Raw genomic sequence first — 21,129 nt, 5'->3', positions numbered from 1 at the left:
GGAGGTCAAGACCAGCTGCCTGGCACATGCCTGTAGTCCCAGCCGCCTGGCACATGCCTATAGTCCCAGCAACCTTGGGGGGGTGGAATACAGGGGCTGGGGGGCAAGTTGCTGAGGTGGCAGGATTGCTTGAGCCCAGGAGGTTGAGGCTGCAGTGAGCCATGATTGTGCCACTGCACTCCAGCCTGGGTGACAGAGCAAGAACCTGTCTCTGGAAAACAAACAAAAAAAAAAGAATATGGTCTCATACAGCTACAATTTAAGTGACTAACATGCCATTTTATTTTGGATAAATGATACTTAAGTGATTCAAATTATCACTATTAGATCAATGACAATCCAGGCCCTCTAATATATGTTAACACATTAATTAATACTGTTTTAACTGCCCCTCCCCCCCCAACCTGTAACTTTTAAAGACTCAGATTGGTAGTATAAGTGTTTTAGACAAGCCATGTGCTGGTAACACGTATCTCCCCATTGTTTCCTACCTTCCTTCACACAGTAAACAAACCATTTTAGAGTCACTTATATGACCTCATTATCAAACACACTTGAAGAAGCCACAGGTGTACTCTACTTAACAAGTCAGTGACATTTCTTTGCATCAGTTCTAAAATAAGTTCATTCACTAGATAATAAAGAGAATAAAACTAAAAATCCTAGGTCTCAACTGAATAATCAGTTTTAATAAAATCACCTCTCCATATGATTTTTTTTAGTAACTCACAATCAGGAGTGGGAATTACAGAACCATGAGATTAAACTAATAATCTAACAATTAGTCAAGGCAATGATTAAGCCAATATAATGTTTCAAGAGGAAGAACTGAGCTTTTTTTTTTTTTTTTTTTTTGAGACGGAGTCTTGCTCTGTCGCCCAGGCTGGAGTGCAGTGGCACGATCTCGGCTCACTGCAAGCTCCGCCTCCTGGGTTCACGCCATTCTCCTGCCTCAGCCTCCCGAGTAGCTGGGACTACAGGCGCCGCCACCTTGCCCGGCTAATTTTTTTGTATTTTTAATACAGACGGGGTTTCACGGTGTTACCCCAAAGTGCTAGGATTACAGGCGTGAACCACGGCGCCCGGCCAGAACTAAGCTTTTTATATCGTTTAGTTTAGGAGCAGGAAGGTAAAAATAAGATCATGGTCTGGACATGTTAAATTTGAGGAATCAGGCACAAACATCTGACAATTAGAAACATTACCAGAGTACAGAAGAGGGCTCCAGAAAGAAAATGAGATCTGAGTCATCTCCACAGACAAGACAGTTCACGTTTGAGTAAACAAGATGAAAAATAAAAACAAGGATGATGACAGAATCTTGGAAAATGACTACATTTAGAGAATGCAAAAAAAAAAAAAAGAGGAGAAACTAATAAAAGTTATTGTTGGTCAGGTAAGGTAAGATAAAAGGCAAAATGTCATTAAGACCTAGAATGTCTAATAAGAGTTTCAAAAAGTAGTAGCTATCATTACAGTAACAAACACCAAAAAGGACCCAAGAAGAAGTACTGAAAAAAACTAGAAGGCCATTGGGATGTGGCAGTGAAAAGTTTTGTGATTTTTAAGATATCAGGTGGCAAAGGTTTGGGAAGGAGAGAAGGCAGCAGAGAGAAAGGCACATATCTTGCCAGTTTTTAAAAAGATTAGATAGAGAAATCCACTCTCCTATCTCCAAGGCAAAGACCTACATTCACAGTCTAATGTAAACCCAGTGGGGAGCTGGCAAACAAACTGAAGCAGGGAGGGGAGAGAAAAATCCCTTATTTATACCTTATTTATAGCATTTGATGATTTCCGTGGTGTAAATACTCCCACCATGGCCAATTTCAAGCTGCCAACCGTTGGCAAAATTCCTGAAAATTTAGCAATGGCTTGCTGGTACAAATCAACTCCAGCACACAACTGCAAATCACCTCTTTTATGGTCTACCCTGCAACTGAGCAATTCTGTGACAGCTTTCTCTCAACTCAATTGACACTAAATCATTCTCTAGGACAACTTAAAGCAATTCACAGAAGTCTACTCTACTCTCATTACATTTAGCTTTCTCAACTGTATTGCAACTGAAAGGGGTTGGATGTTGAAAGCAAAATGGATCCCAGTATGCCTGTCTTCACTAAGTGCCACAAAGCAAAGGACAAGAATCATATTCTCCAAAAAGCCATCAGATGACCATTTTATAACTTTCCTTTGTTAATGTTATCTCCCTATCTAAACCTCAAATGTCTTAAGGGTAGGGAACTGTATTCAAACAAGAGCCAAACATCCCACATGAGTCCCAATTCCAGTGACAGGCAGCAGGGATACAGGGTAAGCACCTTAGATTAAATCCAGACACCTCAAAGGGTTCCACAAAGGGTTCCAATCCAGCCCTGCTACTTGCTGGCAGGCTGTTAGCAGCCTTTACAGTGGCAGTTTCAACTGCAAAATGGGAACAATAATACCCAGCACACAGGGGCAACCTTGGATTTAACAGGATCACTTCTGGGGATAGTCACTGGACACTGCTAAAGCATATTGCCAAGAATACCAGCGAAGCCCACTTCTGTCTAGAAACTATGGCTGATCAGCTGCTAAGGATTTTTTAATCATCTACCTCCAATGACCTCCAACCATCACTCCAAGCCATAAAACCCTTTCACGATTGTGTCCTGGACTCCAAGGCCCCACTACATCAAAACCAAATAGTCCACCTGAAAGTAGTGTCAAGAGTCAAAAATGTTGTGACAAACAAGATGAGAACACAACCTACCAATTACGTTCCTACTTGCGTCCACATGACATTCAACATTTCACCTCAGTGCAACGAGGAAGTTCATCAACAAACCTCAACAAATAAACAAAACTCAAGAGAATAACTTCCTTTCTAATATTTCACAATTTTTCCCCATGACATCTTTCCAAATATCCCTGTCTTCATGGTACTCCATATTCTATCATTTAGGTTATGTTTCCTAGGCAAATTTCTCCAGACGTCTGAAGTAGAACCGACGTCAAAAAATTAAATATATATGGGGGAAGTTTACTTTCCAATACAAACGACAGGCCTTGAGAAACAAGGCAATAACCTCCATAACAATTTAATTATTCCACTCATTAACTACTATTCTTCTACTAACAAGTGCAAGAAGTCATTTAGGTGTAGAAAAGAATAAACTCACTATACCTGTATATAAAAAAGTTTCACATTAGACATCTGCCCTCCAACTTCCACAGTTTCCTATACATTATGTGTGTTCTTCTAAGGCACATGCAACACACACTTCGCCAGTAAAGCCAGAATAATCCCAGAAGCGCAAACAAATAAGGGACAGTGGAGCTTGCAAGCCAAAGACCTTCATCCGAAAGATGAATTATGACATTTGAACGTGTATCTCTATCTTAAGGGCTAACTTTCTTTCTATGAAGTATCTGAAACTCACAGCCATACACCCACTTCCCTCACTCCTTCTCCCCTCCCTCCTTCCCGGCACCCCCGCCCTCCCGCCGCTTCCCGGGCGAATTCGGGCCTCTAATATCCCCTCCAAGGAAGCGCCGCCCCTTCCTACGGCTACGGGAAGGATCGTCCAGTGGCTGAGGCTGGACAGAGCACAGGTAGTACCTGTAGACGGAAGCCGCGATGGGAGGCTGACAGACCCGGTCATTTCCCGCGCCTCGCAGTCAGGTGCAGGGTCGACCGGGCACCGCCCGCCGGCGGCATTGGGGCAGGCCGGGTCCCTTGGCAGAGCCCGAGCCGGTGCGGCCGCCGCGGCCAGCTCCGTCGCCGGCCCGCGGGGTGGCTTATACAACAACGGGGCGGACCCTCCGCGCGGGGTCAAGGCGGCCTCCCGGCGCGGCCGGAGTCCGGCTCAGACACCTCGGGGCCCCGACGCTGAGGGGAGCCTCTCCCAGGCAGAGCGGCGCCGGGACGCCTCTGGGCGCCGCGCGGACTCATGCCGGGGAGGGTCGAGGAAGCCGCCCGTCGTCGCCAGGCGGGCGGCGACTCCTTGGTGCTGCCCGCTGGGCCCTAACCCGGCCCGCGCGGAGGGTGCGCGCCGGAGACACACGAAGCCCCCTGCCGGCTGCGCTTACCTCTCTCCGGTGTCGGCAGAGTCCACCTCCTCCTCCTCCGCCGCCATAGCCGCCGCCGCGCAAGCGCCGGGACTTATCTCGAAGCCGGCTGACAGGCCGACTGGGCCGCCCCGGGCTGGCGCGGCACTTAAGGCGGCGCAGGCCGCCAGCGCATGCGTCTTCCGCGCACTAGCACGGCCCGGCGGCGCGCCCGCGTTTGCGCGTGCGCGGCCTTGCCTCCGGCTTTGCGTCCGCCATCCCCAGCCAGCATGCACTAGTTCTCCCGCCCGACGCTCCCGGGTGTAAGCGCGGGGCGGGACAGTCAGCCCAGAGGGACTGGCGAGACTCACCCGAATGAGTTAGGTGTTTTAGCTAATTTGAATAATGACTGTATTCATGCATCACCCCGTCGGTGTTGGCTGTCAGGTGGCACCTTGGGGACGGAGGTGCGTCCGGTCCTGGAAGAGCCTAGCTAGTGTCCGATAGATGGTGCAGTGGCAAATGAAATGGCGTAATCGAGGTGCTGTGTGGCGTCCCGCCAGCCTTTCCCCGCGGGTTGGGGGGCCAGGGGGAGAGGGCGACTCACAGGAGCCTTCAGTCAGTTGAGCACTGCTCTAGGTGCTGATGTTACTGTAGTGGCCAGAGCCAGCAATTTCCCTCCCACTCGACTCTCTAGATACCTGGGAGGGTGAAAAGAGTCGGTGTTGGCCGGGCGCGGTGGCTCAGGCCTGTAATCCCAGCACTTTGGGCGGCCAAGGCGGGCGGATTTTCTGAGGTCGGGAGTTGGAGACCAGCCTGAGCTGAAGAAACCCCGTCTCTATTAAAAATACAAAATTAGCCGGGCGCGGTGGCGCATACCTGTAATTCCAGCTACTCGGGAGCCTGAGGTAGGAGAATCGCTTGAACTCGGGAGGCGGAGGTTGCGGTGAGCCGAGATCGCACCATTGCACTCCAGCCTGGGCAACAAGAACGAAACTCCGTCTCAAAAAAAAAAAAAAAAGTCTATGTTTAGGTACTTCGAGTTATTGAGGTGAAATGACTAACCTAAATAGCAGTATTTCTTGACCTGTTTTCAAGCCTTTTAGCAATCAGGTGCAACCTGCTTTTGGAATTCTGCCACCCACTACTACTCATCCATTTATGTTTGGTGTGTGTCTACTATGGGCTCACTTTGTTCTAGGTGCTTGAAAACAATGGGTTGAAATACTGCTCCTGTTTTGATAGATCCTACGCGAATATATTAACCTTTATTTTAGACTCAGTTCATTGTTCTCCTTCCCTGACTCTCCTCCCTCTTTTTCTCTCCTCTGAGCCCCACTGTAAACCTGTCTTTATCACCCATCTAGCTCTCAGGTTCTCAGCCTTGTGTAATTGTTACAGCTTTTAAATAAACATTATCGAATATCTTTCCAACTACACGAGAAAGTCCTCTAGGATAGGAATGGTGTCTTCTGTAATTTAGAGGGGGGAAAGCCACTTATAATCTCTTAGGCATAGTAATAACTAATACATTTTTTATTGTGTTTGATCTAATTCATAAAATATTTTAGGGAAGACCAGAACATATAAAAAACATTTTTACAGGAATTCCTGGTTGTTTCATGAAAGGGCCGTATATTCAAAGTGACCTCCAAATACAGAAGGAGCTGAGAAACTAAAGAATGAAGGAGACAAATCCAGCTTGTCAGCAAAAGGTGATTTATTAGGGAACTTACGGACAGAAGCATGGTCTTGGACAGCAGCAAGACAGGTAAATCTCTGTGCTGTTACCCTCCCAGACTAAGGTTGTTTTGACCTAAGGGCAGGTAGGTAAGTATGTGCTCTGATACAATTTGGGTGTTGTCCTCTCTAAATCTCATGTTGAATTGTGATCTCCAGTGTTAGAGGTGGGGTTTGATGGGTGGTGATTAGATTCTGGGGGTGAATTTCTCATGAATGATTTGGCACTATCCCCTTAATGCTGTCCTTGCAATAGTAAGTTCTTGTGAGATCTGGTTGTTTAAAAGTGTATGGCACCTACCCCTCACTCTCTTGCTCCTGCTCTAGTCATGTAAGATGCCTGCTCCCGCTTTGCCCTCTGCCGTGAGTAAATGCTCCCTGTGGCCTTTCCAGAAGCCAAGCTGATACCAGCACCTGTATAGCCTGCAGAACCATGAGCCAATTAACCTTTCTTTATAAATTACCCAGTCCCAGGTAATTCTTTTTTTTTTTTTTTCTAAGACGGAGTTTCACTCTGTTGCCCTGGCTGGAGTGCAGTGGCATGATCTTGGCTCTCTATGACCTGCACCTCCCAGGTTCAAGCAATTCTCCTGCCTCAGCCTCCTGAGTAGCTGGGATTCCAGGCACCCGCCACCACGCCCAGCTAATTTTTTGTATTTTTAGTAGAGATGGGGTTTCACCATGTTGGCCAGGCTGGTCTTGAACTCGTGACCTCAAATGATCCTCCCTCCACTGCCTCCCAAAGTGCTGGGATCACAGGCATGAGCCACCGCGCCCAGCTGTATTTCTTTATAACAATGTAAGAACAGCCTGTCACATGCTCTTATACAAGGAACAATAGATAAAGTAGAAAACTTGGAGGCCTTCCCAAAACTGGGGTTACTCAGAAATCAACATTGTGGATTAGCATCTGAGATGGAGTTACTTTAGCCTCCACAATAGTGTTGCCAGACACTTGTAGTGTGTCTGCAGAAACTGATGCCCTACAATCCCACCTCTCAGAGTGTCTGTTGAAGACCCTACCGCCTGGAACACAGTGCAAGCCCAGTGGTACTGAGTCCAGTAATGAAACCTTAGGATTTTGCAGCAACTCCTGTAGCGCTTTGGTCTTTATGGACCTGGAGTCTGCTCTCAAAGATGCCTGTGCCTGCTGCACAGTCACAAAAAAAGAAAAGAAAGAAAAAAAGAGAGAAAGAGACCATTGATCCAATACTAGAGTTTATGCAGAAACTGACAAGCAGTGCATAGGACTACAGGACTTCATGATCTTCCTCAACTCTGGGAGTAGCTCTGTTCTAGCTTCACCTTGCTGCTGATGGAGTCATCTTCAACAATGGCAAGAAATCCAAGCTAGAATTGGCCATCCACCTATCCCCTGGGTGTTGCCAGCAATGGTGGAACCCTACAACTCTATCCTGACCACCGTGCCACCCTGGAACCCTTGGACTGTGTCTTCTTGGGAGACAATGGACCAACACATGTCATTGCAACCTATACCCCCAGGGCCCCACATACTTTAACCACTGCTTGGACCAGACTTCCTCCATCACTACCTCCCTGAACTTTGATGGTACCCTGAAAGCAGACCTCTCAGAGTTTAAGGCCAGCTTGGTCCCCTACCTCCAAATTAACTTCCTTTTTGTGACCTACTAACCAATTACCTGGTTGAGCAGTGCTTACATTTGGAGATCGCCAGTACCTACTTTGTACTCTCCAATCAGATGGCCAGATATGACACTGACCAAAGCAAGTACAGAGCTTGCTCTGCATGTTCTGCCCCAGGGTTGTAGCCTAAAGACTGAATGCTGCCATTGTCCCACCAAGACCAAGTGTGCCATACACTTGGTTGATGACTGGTGCCCCACTGGGTTTCAGGTTGGCTTTAATTTCCAGCCCTCCAATAGTAGTTCCCCAGGCAAAGTGCTGAGCAATACCACAACCATCACAGGGGCCTGGGCCTTTATCACAAGCCTGCCAAGCAAGCACTTACAAACCAGAATGAGAGTGAGGGCATGGAGAAGGGGATGTTTTATGAGGGCTTCAATGGCCTGGCTGCTTTGTAAATATTTTTTGGTTTTGGTAGAGACAGGTCTCACTGTGTTGCCCAGGCCGGTCTCAAACTCCTGACCTCCCAGAGTGTTGGGATTATAGGCGTAAGCCACCATGCCCAGCCTGTAAATGTTTATAAAGAAATGCTGTAATAAAACATATTGAGAAAGCAAATGTGGCAGGGAGATAATAAGAAGGACACAGGATGATAAGGGAAAGTGGTAGCTGGGTCAAGGGAAGGGCCTGAACATCAATCAGCTGTAGTGACTTCTCAAAAAAAAAAAAAAAATCACATGACTTTAGGGCTTCTTGGACTCTAATTTGCATGCAGACTTCTGTGGATCATGTTGAATTGTAGATTCTGACTCTGTAGGTCTGAGGTAGAACCTGAGATCTCTATTTCTAACTAGCTCCTAGTTATGCCTGTGTTCCTACTGCCAATCAGCAGACTACCCTTTAAGTAATGAGCTCTAGAGCAACCCTGTCTGTTAGAACATTCTGTAATGATGGAAATGTTCTAGACCCACACTCTCTGATACAGTAGCCATTAGCTACATGTGGTTGTGGAGGATCTGAAATTTGGCTAGTGTGACTGAATTTTGAATTTTAATTAAGTTAAAATTTAGAAGCCATACGTGGCTAGTAGCTACCATACTGGACAGCAAGGTCTACATCTCTTAATCCTCATCTATAAAGATGAGAGTTTGGGCTGGGTGTGGTGACTCACGCCTGTCATCCTAGCAGTTTGGGAGGCCAAGATGGGTGGATCGCTTGAGCCCAGGAGTTCAGGACCAGCTTGGGCAACGTGGCAAGACCCCATCTCTACCAAAAGTGAAAAATTAGCTGGGTGTAATGGCATGTGCCTTTGGCCTCAGCTACTTGGGAGGCTGAGGTGGGAGGATCCTTTGAGCCCAGGGAGGGCAAGGCTGCAGTAAGCTGTGATCATGTCACTGTACCCCAGGCTGGATGACAGAGTGAGACCCTGTCTCCAAAAAAAAAGAATAAAAGTTTTAGACTAAACAATTCTTGAGGTCCCTTCTAGTATTCTGTGGTTCCAAGTTGTTTTTAAGGTGTGTATGGGGTGGGGTAGGGACGGGAGAGGATTGACAGATATGAAAGTCTGGAGTAAGGCATGAGAGGTTGAGAGCTCCGCATAGTTGAATGGAGGAATGAGGAAGAGGAGCATGGTGCCCTGGGGGCTGGATCCTGGAACTCAGTGGTAGAGCTGCCCTCCAGAGACAAGAGATTCTGATTAACTGATGAGCGTTAATTGAACTCTCAGAACCAGAATAAAAGACCTTCTTCAGTGGGACACAAACGCCAGGTCATAAAGGAAAAGAGTGATTAATTTAGCCACATCAAAATCTAAGACATCGTGTGAAAAAAGGCACAATAAAACTGCAAAAGATGGAACAGATTAGAAAATCTTTTTTGAACATGTTAAGAAACCAAGGCTTTAATATCTTCAATATATTTTAAAAAATAGAAAGTGATGAAAAAAGCCTTTTCAGAGGAGAAAACCCTCAAGCCATAAACAGCTGCAAGATGCTCAGACTCATCAGTGATCAATTCGCTCATCAATAAAAAAGGCTGATGCTGCTAAATATTGGCAAGGCCATGAATCAGTGGGGAATGTCCCTACCCATTTGGTGGAAGTGCAAATTGGCACAGCCATTTGGAAAGCAGTTTGGGAGATCTGTTTTAAAATGTAAAATTAAGATACTCTGTGGCCCAGGAATTTAACTTCTGGGGGTCTGACCTTTCTCATGTGCACATAGAGACACATAAAAAGATGTTTGCTTCAGTAGTCTAATGTCAAAAAAAAGAAAGACATTAATAAGAATGCTTATGATTAAATAAAGTCTAGTACCTCCATAATATGGAATACTATGGCAGCAATTAAGAAAAATGAGGTAGATGTATATATACTAATATGGAAGTACTCCAGAGCATATTGATATGTGGAAAAAGCAAAATCCATGAAATATACAAAAGTTGGTTCCTTGGGATTAATAAAATTGATAAATGCCTGGATACCTGATAAGAAGAAAAAGAAAATAAAAATGAACAATATCAGAAATGGAAAAGAAGATGTCACTAGAGATCTTACCAACATATTCAAAAGATAGTAAGGCGAATACTACAAATGGCTTTATGCCAATAAATTTGATGACTTAGATAAAATAAACAATCTTTATTTTTTTTCTCTTTATTATACTTTAAGTTTTAGGGTACATGTGCACAACGTGCAGGTTTGTTACATATGTATACATGTGCCATGTTGGTGTGCTGCACCCATTAACTCTTCGTTTAACATTAGATATATCTCCTAATGCTATCCCTCCCCATGCCCCCGACCCCACAACAGGCCCCGGTGTGTGATGTTCCCCTTCCTGCATCCATGTGTTCTCATTGTTAAATTCCCACCTATGAGTGAGAACATGCGGTGTTTGGTTTTTTGTCCTTGCAATAGTTTGCTGAGAATGATGGTTTCCAGCTTCATCCATGTCCCTACAAAGGACATGAACTCATCATTTTTTATGGCTGCATAGTATTCCATGGTGTATATGTGCCACATTTTCTTAATCCAGTCTATCATTGTTGAACATTTGGGTTGGTTCCAAGTCTTTGCTATTGTGAATAGTGCCACAATAAACATACGTGTGCATGTGTCTTTACAGCAGCATGTTTTATAATCCTATGGGTATATACCTAGTAATGGGATGGCTGGGTCAAATGGTATTTCTACTTCTAGATCCCTGAGGAATCACCACACTGACTTCCACAATGGTTGAACGAGTTTACAGTCCCACCAACAGTGTAAAAGTGTTCCTATTTCTCCACATCCTCTCTAGCACCTGTTGTTTCCTGACTTTTTAATGATTGCCATTCTAACTGGTGTGAGATGGTATTTCATTTTAGCTTTGATTTGCATTTCTCTGATAACCAGTGATGATGAGCATTTTTTCATGTGTCTTTTGGCTGCATAAATGTCTTCTTTTGAGAATTGTCTGTCCATATCCTTCACCCACTTTTTGATGGGGTTGTTTGTTTTTTTCTTGTAAATTTGTTGGAGTTCATTGTAGATTCTGGATATTAGCCCTTTGTCAGATGAGTAGATTGCAAAAATTTTCTCCCATTCTGTGGGTTGCCTGTTCACTCTAATGGTAGTTTTTTTTGCTGTGTGGAAGCTCTTTAGTTTAACTAGATCCCATTTGTCAATTTTGGCTTTTGTTGCTGTTGCTTTCGGTGTTTTAGACATGAAGTCCTTGTCCATGACTATGTCCTGAATGCTATTGCCTAGGTTTTCTTCTAGGGTTTTTATGGTTTTAGGTCTAACATTTAAGTCTTTAATCCATCTTGAATTAATTTTTGTATAAGGTGTAAGGAAGGGTTCCAGTTTCAGCTTTCTACATATGGCTAGCCAGTTTTCCCAGCACCATTTTTTAAATAGGGAATCCTTTCCCCATTTCTTGTTTTTGTCAGGTTTGTCAAAGATCAGATGGTTGTAGATGTGTGGTATTATTTCTGAGGGCTCTGTTCTGTTCCATTGGTCTATATCTCTGTTTTGGTACCAGTACCATGCTGTTTTGGTTACTGTAGCCTTGTAGTATAGTTTGAGGTCAGGTAGCATGATGCCTCCAGCTTTGTTCTTTTGTCTCAGGATTGACTTGGCAATGCAGGCTCTTTTTTGGTTCCATATGAACTTTAAAGTATTTTTTTCCAATTCTGTGAAGAAAGTCATTGGTAGCTTGATGGGGATGGCATTGAATCTATAAATTACCTCGGGCAGTATGGCCATTTTCATGATATTGATTCTTCCTAGCCATGAGCATGGAATGTTCTTCCATTTGTTTGTATCCTCTTTTGTTTCATTGAGCAGTGGTTTGTAGTCCTCCTTGAAGAGGTCCTTCATGTCCTTTGTAAGTTGGACCTAGGTATTTTATTCTCTTTGAAGCAATTGTGAATGGTAATTCACTCATGATTTGGCTCTCAGTTTGTCTGTTATTGGTGTATAAGATTGCTTGTGATTTTTGCACATTGATTTTATATCTTGAGACCTTGCTGAAGTTGCTTATCAGCTTAAGGAGATTTTGGGCTGAGATGATGGGGTTTTCTAGATATACAATCATGTCATCTGCAAACAGGGACAATTAGACTTCCTCTTTTCCTAATTGAATACCCTTTATTTCCTTCTCCTGCCTGATTGCCCTGGCCAGAACTTCCAACACTGTGTTGAATAGGAGTGGTGAGAGACGGCATCCCTGTCTTGTGCCAGTTTTCAAAGGGAATGCTTCCAGTTTTTGCCCATTCAGTATGATATTGGCTGTGGATTTGTCATAGATAGCTCTTATTATTTTGAGATATGTCCCGTCAATACCTAATTTATTGAGAGTTTTTAGCATGAAGTGTTGTTGAATTTTGTCAAAGGCCTTTTCTGCATCTATTGAGATAATCATGTGTTTTTTGTCGTTGGTTCTGTTTATATGCTGGATTATGTTTATTGATTTGCGTATGTTGAACTAGCCTTCCATCCCAGGGATGAAGCCCACTTGATCATGGTGGATAAGCTTTTTGATGTGCTGCTGGATTCGGTTTGCCAGTATTTTATTGAGGATTTTTGGATCAATGTTCATCAGAGATATTGGTCTAAATTTCTCTTTTTTTGTTGTGTCTCTGCCAGGCTTTGGTATCAGGATGATGCTGGCCTCATAAAATGAGTTAGGGAGGATTCCCTCTTTTTCTATTGATTGGAATAGTTTCAGAAGGAATGGTACCAGTTCCTCCTTGTACCTCTGGTAGAATTCGGCTGTGAATCCATCTGGTCCTGAACTTTTTTTGGTTGGTAAGCTATTAATTGTTGCCTCAACTTCAGAGCCTATTATTGGTCTATTCAGAGATTCAACTTCTTCCTGGTTTAGTCTTGGGAGGGTGTATGTGTTGAGGAATTTATCAATTTCTTCTAGATTTTCTAGTTTATTTGCATACGGGTGTTTATATTATTCTCTGATGGTTGTTTGTATTTCTGTGGGATCAGTGGTGATATCCCCTTTATCATTTTTTGTGGCATCTATTTGATTCTTCTCTCTTTTCTTCTTTATTAGTCTTGCTAGCGGTCTATCAATTTTGTTGATCTTTTCAAAAAACTAGCTCCTGGATTCATTGATTTTTTGAAGGGTTTTTTGTGTCTCTATTTCCTTCAGTTCGGCTCTGGTCATAGTTATTTCTTGCCTTCTGCTAGCTTTTGAATGTGTTTGCTCTTGCTTCTCTATTTCTTTTAATTGTGATGTTAGGGTGTCAATTTTAGATCTTTCCTGCTTTCTCTTGTGGGCATTTAGTGCTATAAATTTCCCTCTACACACTGCTTTGAATGTGTCCCAGAAGTTCTTGTATGTTGTGTCTTTGTTCTCATTGGTTTCAAAGACCATCTTTATTTCTGCCTTCATTTCGTTATGTACCCAGTAGTCATTCAGGAGCAGGTTGTTCAGTTTCCACGTAGTTGAGCGGTTTTGAGTGAGTTTCTTAATCCTGAGTTCTAGTTTGATTGCACTGTGGTCTGAGAGACAGTTTGTTATAATTTCTGTTCTTTTACATTTGCTGAGGAGTGCTTTACTTCCAACTATGTGGTCAATTTTGGAATAGGTGTGGTATGGTGCTGAAAAGAATGTATATTCTGTTGATTTTGGGGTGGAGAGTTCTGTAGATGTCTATTAGGTTCGCTTGGTGCAGAGCTGAGTTCAATTCCTGGATATCCTTGTTTACTTTCTGTCTCGTTGATCTGTCTAATGTTGACGGTGGGTGTAAAAGTCTCCCATTATTATTGTGTGGGAGTCTAAGTCTCTTTGTAGGTCTCTGAGGACTTGCTTTATGAATCTGGGTGCTCCTGTATTGGGTGCATATATATTTAGGATAGTTAGCTCTTCTTGTTGAATTGATCCCTTTACCATTATGTAATGGCCTTCTTTGTCTCTTCTGATCTTTGTTGGTTTAAAGTCTGTTTTATCAGAGACTAGGATTGCAGCCCCGGCCTTTTTTTGTTTTCCATTTGCTTGGTAGATCTTCCTCCATCCCTTTATTTTGAGCCTATGTGTGTCTCTGCATGTGAGATGGGTTTCCCGAATATAATACACTGATGGGTCTTGAGTCTTTATCCAGTTTGCCAGTCTGTGTCTTTTAATTGGAGCATTTAGCCCATTTACATTTAAGGTTAATATTGTTATGTGTGAATTTGATCCTGTCATTATGATGTTAGATGGTTATTTTGCTCGTTAGTTGATGCAGTTTCCTCCTAGCCTCGATGGTCTTTACAATTTGGCATGTTTTTGCAGCGGCTGGTACCAGTTGTTCCTTTCCATGTTTAGTGCTTCCTTCAGGAGCTCTTTTAGGGCAGGCCTGGTGGTGACAAAATCTCTCAGCATTTGCTTGTCTGTAAAGGATTTTATTTGTCCTTCACTTATGAAGCTTAGTTTGGCTGGATATGAAATATTGGGTTGAAAATTCTTTTAAGAATGTTGAATATTGGCCCCCACTCTCTTCTGGCTTGTAGAGTTTCTGCCAAGAGATCAGCTGTTAATCTGATGGGCTTCCCTTTGTGGGTAACCCGACCTTTCTCTCTGGCTGCCCTTAACATTTTTTCCTTCATTTCGACTTTGGTGAATGTGACAAATATGTGTCTTGGAGTTGCTCTTCTCGAGGAGTATCTTTGTGGTGGTCTCTGTATTTCCTGAATTTGAATATTGGCCTGCCTTGCTAGACTGGGGAAGTTCTCCTGGATAATATCCTGCCGAGTGTTTTCCAACTTGGTTCCATTCTTCCCGTCACTTTCAGGTACAGCAATCAGACGTAGATTTGGTCTTTTCACATAGTCCCATATTTCTTGGAGGCTTTGTTTCTTTTTATTCTTTTTTCTCTAAACTTCTCTTCTTGCTTCATTTCATTCATTTGATCTTCAATCACTGATACCCTTTCTTCCAGTTGATCAAATTGGCTACTGAGGCTTGTGCATTCGTCACATAGTTCTCGTGCCATGGTTTTCAGCTCCATCAGGTCCTTTAAGGACTCCTCTGCATTGGTTATTCTAGTTAGCCATTCGTCTAATTTTTTTTCAAGGTTTTTAACTTCTTTGCCATGGGTTCGAACTTCCTCCTTTAGCTCGGAGTAGTTTGATCATCTGAAGTCTTCTTCTCTCAACTCGTCAAAGTCATTCTCTGTCCAGCTTTGTTCCGTTGCTGGTGAGGAGCTGTGTTCCTTTGGAGGAGGAGAGGCACTCTGATTTTTAGAGTTTCCAGTTTTTCTTCTCTGTTTTTTCCCCATCTTTGTGGTTTTATCTACCTTTGGTCTTTGATGATGGTGACGTACAGATGGGATTTTGGTGTGGATGTGCTTTCTGTTTGTTAGTTTTCCTTCTAACAGGACCCTCAGCTGCAGGTCTGTTGGAGTTTGCTGGAGGTCCACTCCAGACCCTGTTTGCCTGGGTATCACCAGTGGAGGCTGCAGAACAGCAGATACTGGTGAACAGTAAATGTTGCTGCCTGATCATTCTTCTGGAAGTTTTGTCTCAGAGGAGTACCCGGCCGTGTGAAGTGACAGTCTGCCCCTACTGGGGGATGCCTCCCAGTTAGGCTACTCGAGGGTCAGGGACCCACTTGAGGAGGCAGTCTGTCCGTTCTCAGATCTCCAGCTGTGTGCTGGGAGAACCACTACTCTCTTCAAAGCTGTCAGACAGGGACATTTAAGTCTGCAGAGTTTTCTGCTGCCTTTTGTTTGGCTATGCCCTGCCCCCAGAGGTGGAGTCTACAGAGGCTGGCAGGCTTCCTTGAGCTGTGGTGGGCTCTACCCAGTTCGAGCTTCCCAGCTGCTTTGTTTACCTACTCAAGCCTCGGCAATGGCAGGCACCCCTCCCCTAGCCTCGCTGCTGCCTTGCAGTTTGATCTCAGACTGCCGTGCTAGCAATCAGCGAGGCTCCGTGGGCGTAGGACCCTCCGAGCCATGCACGGGATATAATCTCCTGGTGTGCCGTTTGCTAAGACCATTGGAAAAGTGCAGTATTAGGGTGGGAGTGACCCGATTTTTCAGGTGCCATCTGTCACCCCTTTCTTTGACTAGGAAAGGGAATTCCCTGACCCCTTGCGCTTCCCAGGTGAGGCGATGCCTCGCCCTGCTTCGGCTCACACTTGGTGCACTGCACCCACTGTCCTGCACCCACTGTCCGACACTCCCCAGTGCGATAAACCCGGTACCTCAGTTGGAAATGCAGAAATCACCCGTCTTCTGCGTCACTCATGCTGGGAGCTGTAGACTGCAGCTGTTCCTATTCAGCCATCTTGGCTCCACCCTCCCACAGTATCAAAAAAATCTTTAGAAAGCATAACTTACTAAAACTGGCAAGATGAAATAGAAAATCTGAATAGCTTAATATCTCCTTTTTTAATTGAATGTGTAATTTTTAAAATATTTTCCATAAAGAAAAGTATTTTACAAATACAGTCCCCAACTTATAATGGCTCAAATTACAATTTTATGACTTTACTGTAGGAGTATGAGCCAGAGACAAAACTCCTCAGACATGGAGTTAAAGAAGGAAGGGGTTTATTCGGCCAGGGGCATTCGAAGATTCCTGTCTCAAGAGCCGAGCTCCCCAAGTGAGCAGTTCTGTCCCTTTTAAAGGCTCACAACTCTAAAGGGGTTCATGTGAGATGGTCCTGATCGATTGAGCAAGCAGGGGGTATGTGACTGCGGGCTGCATGCACCGGTAATCAGAATGGAACAGGACAGGATGGGTTTTCACAGTGCTTTCCCATACAATGTCTGGAATCTATAGATAACATAACCTGTTAGGTCAGGGGTCGATCTTTAACTACCAGGCCCAGGGTGTGGCGCTGGGCTGTCTGCCTGTGGATTTCATTTCTGCCTTTTAGTTTTTACTTCTTTCTTTGGAGGCAGAAAGTGGGGATAAGACAATATGAGGGGTGGTCTCTTCCCTTATTGCAATGATATGAAAGCAATACACATTCAGTAGAAACCGTTCGAATGCCCATACAGCCATTCTGTTTTTTACTCTTACTGCATTATTCAATAGATGGCATGAAATATTTAAGACTTTATTATAAAATAGACCTTGTATTAGATGGTTTTGCATAACAGTAGGCTAATGTAAGAGTGCTCAGGACATTTAAGGTAGGCTAAGCTATGATGTTAGGTAGGTTAGGTGTATTAAATGCACTTGGAATTTAACAGTATTTTCAACTTACAGTGGGTTTATCAGGAAATAACCCCATGGTAGGTCAAGGCACATCTGTAGTTAATTAATTGGCCCCTCAGGGCCCCTCATGTTGATTAGTGTTTGTTTTTCCTTCCCTTGAGTCTGAACTTGTGACTTGTTTTGACCAAAAGCATGTGGCAGAAGTGATGCTGTGTCATTTCCAATGCTGAAACTTAAGAATCTGTTGCTCCAGAGTTCACCAATTCATCTATTCCCTCTCCTAAGTCAAATACTATGGCAAAAGTCTGACTACCCTGAGACCACCATGCTGTAAGGAAGCCTTGCTAGCCATGTGGAGAGAGAAACCATGTGCAGAGCACCAAGGCACCAGACTTATGAGTGAAGGCTTTGAATTCCCAGCCCGCCCACCACCTGAATGCAGCTGAGTGAATGGCCCCAACCAGTATTGTGTGGATTAATGTCTGCCCAGATTAGCTTGAATTACTGACCCACAGAATTGTGAGAAAATAAAATGGTGATGGTTTTAAGCCACTATATTTTGAAGTAGTTTGTTAGGTAGCAATAGATCATCAAATCACCTTCACACGATGCATTGATAACTCCTTATCCCACCAATGTGTAATGCCACTATTTCATCTACTAAATTATGTGGTTCACCTGGCTAATTTGTTTTTTGTACTTTTAGAAGAGACTGGGTTTCACCATGTTGGCCAGGCTGGTCTCAAACTCCTGACCTCAGGAGATCTGCCCACCTCAGCCTCCCAAAGTGCTGGGATTACAGGCGTGAGCTCCCACTTATGAGTGGGAACATGCAGTATTTGGTTTTCTGTTTCTGTGTTGATTCATTCCCTTAGGAAGATGGCTTCCACCTGCATCCATGCTGCTGCAAGGGACGTGATTTCATTCTTTTTGGGGCTGCATAGTATTCCATGGTGTATGTGTACCGCATTTTCTTTGTCCAGTCCACTGTTGATGGGCAGCTGGGTTCATTCCGTGTCTTTGCTATTGTGAATAGTGCTGTGATGAACATGGTAGTGCCTGTATCTTTTTGATAGAACGTAAATCATAGTTTCAATGACAGAAATTGAATATTAGCTGTTGTACTGTAGTTTGTTAATTTTGTTTTGCATTCCTTTTATAGAAATCATCCCCCTTTCTCAGGCTGATGTGTGCCTTGACTGTACTAGAATCAAGGCCATGTACTTAGAAAGCGGGAAGTAAAAAAAAAAAATTATCTGGTTAATTTAATTCAAGATTTTTTTCACAAAGTCTTTTTTTAGACTATTTATATTGAGAGAATTGCAGATTCACATGCAGTTGTAAGAATAATACAGAGAGCTCCCATGTACCCTTTACCAACTTCCCCTTGTGGTAACATTTTGCAAAATGATATTACAATGTCCCAACCAGGACATTGACACTGAAACAATACATATGTGGAACATTTCCATCACGACAAGATCCCTCTTGTTGCCCTTTTACAGCCACACCCACTTCCCTCCTGCACATACAACCCAACAACTAATCTATTCCTATAATTTTGTCATTCCAAGAAAGTTACCTAAATAGAATCATTATAGAATAGAATATGACTTAAAAACATTTTTTTTTTGAGACAGGGTCTCACTCTGTCTCCCAGGCTGGAGTGCAGGTGCAAACCTGGCTCAGTACGGCCTTGATCATCTATGCTTAAACAATCCTCCTGGCTCAACCTCTGTGTACCTGGGACCACATGCTTACCACCATGCCTAGCTATTTTTTTTTTCTTTTTTTTGTACATACAGGGTCTCACTTTGTTGTCCAGGCTGGTGTCAAACTCCCAGGCTCAAGTGATCCTCTCACCTCGCCTCCCAAAGCATTGGGATTACAGGCCTGAGCCACCATACTTGGCCTATATTTAACCTCTTGCAATTGACTTTTCTCCCAGCATAATTATTTGGAGATTAAAATTGTTGTACATAAACATAGTTAATTCCTTTTTCTTGCAGAGTAGTATTACACGGTTTAATATACCCATAGTTTGTTTAATCAGTTATCTGATGCAGGACATCTGAGTTGTTTCCAGTTTTCAGCTATTACAAATAAAGCTGCCAAAAACATTTATGTACAGGTTTTTGTGTGATTCCAAGTTTTAGTTTCTCTGTGATAAATGTCAAAGAGTACAATTGCTGGGTCATATAATAGTTGCATGTTTTGTTTTTTAAAAGTCACCAAACTATTTTCCAGAGTAGCTGTACCATATATTCCTACCAGCAAAGTGTGATCAACCTAGTTTCTCCACTTCCTTGCCAGCCTTTGGTGTTGTCTCTGTTTTTTATTTTAGCCATTCTGATGGCTTTTTTATTTTAGCCATTCTGATGGGTGTGTAGTGATGGGTGTGTAGTGATTAAAGTCACAATGTCCCATTGTGACTTTAATTTGCATTTCCCTGATGGCTGGTGATGTTGAACATCTTTTCATGTGATGTTTTGCCCTCTGTATATCATTTTCAAAATGAGGTATCAATTCATATATTTTGCTCATTTTCTAACTGTTGAGTTTTGAGAATTCTTTATATTCTGTAGATACCAGTCCTTTGTCAGGTATGTAGTTTGCAAATACTTCCTGACATCTGTAGCTTATCTTTTCATCCTCTTCATATGGCACATACTTTTGCACAGTAAAAGTTTTTAATTTGATAAAATCCTATTTATTGATTTCTAAAAATGGATTATGCTTTTGCTATCAAGTCTGAGAACTCTTTGCCTAGCTTGAGGTCTTGAGGATCCTGTGTTTCTCCTATGTTTTTTTCTAAAAGTTTTATGATTTTACACATGATGTTTAAATCCATGATCTACTTTGAGTTAATTTTTATGGAAGTGAGATGTTTAGGTCGAGGTTTTGTTTTTGTTTTTGCTTATGGATATCCAATTGTTCCAACACCATATATTGGAAAAACAATAGTTCTTAAATCATTTTGAATGTATTAGTAGGTAGACTCTTATGCTCTTATTTAGTATGTGAGATGTGTAAAACATGATCGATATTTTTCAGGTTAAGGAGACTCATTGCTGTTGACACAGAGATGTGGTGTTCAAATTTCCCTTCAAGGAAGGATTTATTGCCCCAGCTGCAGTGGGTATTTTGATGGAACAGCTTTCAGCTTTTAATCCCTTCCAGGAACACATCACTATGGAAAGCCGTCTCACCAAGGTCATGCCCTTCTAGGAGAGGCTCACATCTAATGATGGATGGATGGATAGAGGCAGGGACATAAAAGACCAGCCACTCTGACTCAAACTGGGATGATCCTTTTGAGCCATTTCTGCTCCAGAACTCCCTGTGGCTGAGTCTGTCAAACCTATATCACAGTTCAACTTCCTCTCTACCCAGTCCCTCTTTCTCCCTTCCTTCCCACAGGTGTTGATTGCAAGAGCACTCCTGAACATTAAACTTTGTCTCAGGGACTGCTTCTTAGAGAACCCAAACTGTGACATTTGTTTTCATTTCTATTTAAGGCTAAGCATGAAATATGTCTTAAGTGTTGAGAATGATGAGGTCATAACTTGTTGGTTTTTATACTATGATTATAGGAGGCAGTCACCTCAGGAAAACTTTCATCAAAAAGTCTACACTCCCGTGGCCAGGCATGGTGATGGGTGCCTGTAATCTCAGCTACTTGTGAGGCAGAGGCAGGAAGAATACTTGAGGCTAGGAGTTTCAGACCAGCCTGGACAACATAGTGAGACCTCATCTCTACGAAAAAATAAAAATAAGTAAACAATTAGCTGTGTATGGTGATGCATGCCTATAGTCCCAGCTACTCTGGAGGATAAGGAGGGAAGATCACTTGAGCCCAGAAGTTCAACATTACAGTGAGCTATGATTATGCCACTGCTCTCCAGCCTAGGTGACAGAGGGAAATTCCATGATTAAAAATTCATGGGTGAATATCCCACACATGAAGGTAGACATGTGGGTGAATATCCCACACATGAAGTACAACAGGGCTAAATCTTCCCATTAACATGTGATCAAAAATTAGTCATGACCCTTGAAATAATCCCCAAGCTTATACCAGCTCCCATTCTGATGTCCTTCACATA

At 43.2% G+C, this 21,129-nt stretch overlaps 2 protein-coding genes and 1 pseudogene across 11 annotated transcripts in view, besides 1 other annotated feature; 2 read left to right on the top strand and 1 right to left on the bottom strand.

The window, feature by feature from the left end:
• Positions 1 to 4,244, bottom strand: part of ABHD5 (abhydrolase domain containing 5, lysophosphatidic acid acyltransferase) — a 43,502-nt gene extending 39,258 nt beyond the window's left edge. For 6 of the 9 annotated variants that reach the window (XR_007095689.1, XR_007095691.1, XR_007095690.1 and 3 more), the window contains exon 1: positions 4,075 to 4,244. Coding sequence is in view for 4 of the 9 variants with exons in the window: in XM_047448243.1 (XP_047304199.1) it covers positions 4,075 to 4,121 (47 nt within the window). In the remaining 5 variants the exon portion in view is untranslated. Of the gene's footprint in view, positions 1 to 3,604; positions 4,017 to 4,074 lie in introns of those variants that run through there. The other 3 variants (NM_001355186.2, NM_016006.6, NM_001365649.1) reach the window with 2 other exon arrangements.
• Positions 3,520 to 21,129, top strand: part of ANO10 (anoctamin 10) — a 325,747-nt gene continuing 308,137 nt past the window's right edge. For both annotated transcript variants that reach the window (NM_001346469.2, NM_001346468.2), the window contains exon 1: positions 3,520 to 3,597. The gene's annotated coding sequence lies outside the window, so the exon portion shown is untranslated. The remainder of the gene's footprint in view (positions 3,598 to 21,129) is intronic.
• Positions 3,525 to 4,004: a silencer, noted in NCBI's record as "silent region_14257". NCBI's record gives its function as "represses an Ori minimal core promoter by ATAC-STARR-seq in GM12878 lymphoblastoid cells {active_cell/tissue: GM12878}" and the evidence as "EXISTENCE:reporter gene assay evidence [ECO:0000049][PMID:35858748]".
• Positions 6,964 to 7,832, top strand: TUBAP3 (tubulin alpha pseudogene 3; annotated as a pseudogene).

This window comes from Homo sapiens, chromosome 3 (assembly GCF_000001405.40).
Source record: "Homo sapiens chromosome 3, GRCh38.p14 Primary Assembly".
In the NCBI taxonomy this organism is placed as follows: Eukaryota; Metazoa; Chordata; class Mammalia; order Primates; family Hominidae; genus Homo; species Homo sapiens.
Note: the sequence above shows the minus strand (reverse complement) of the source record. Positions and strands in the feature narration are given on the sequence as shown.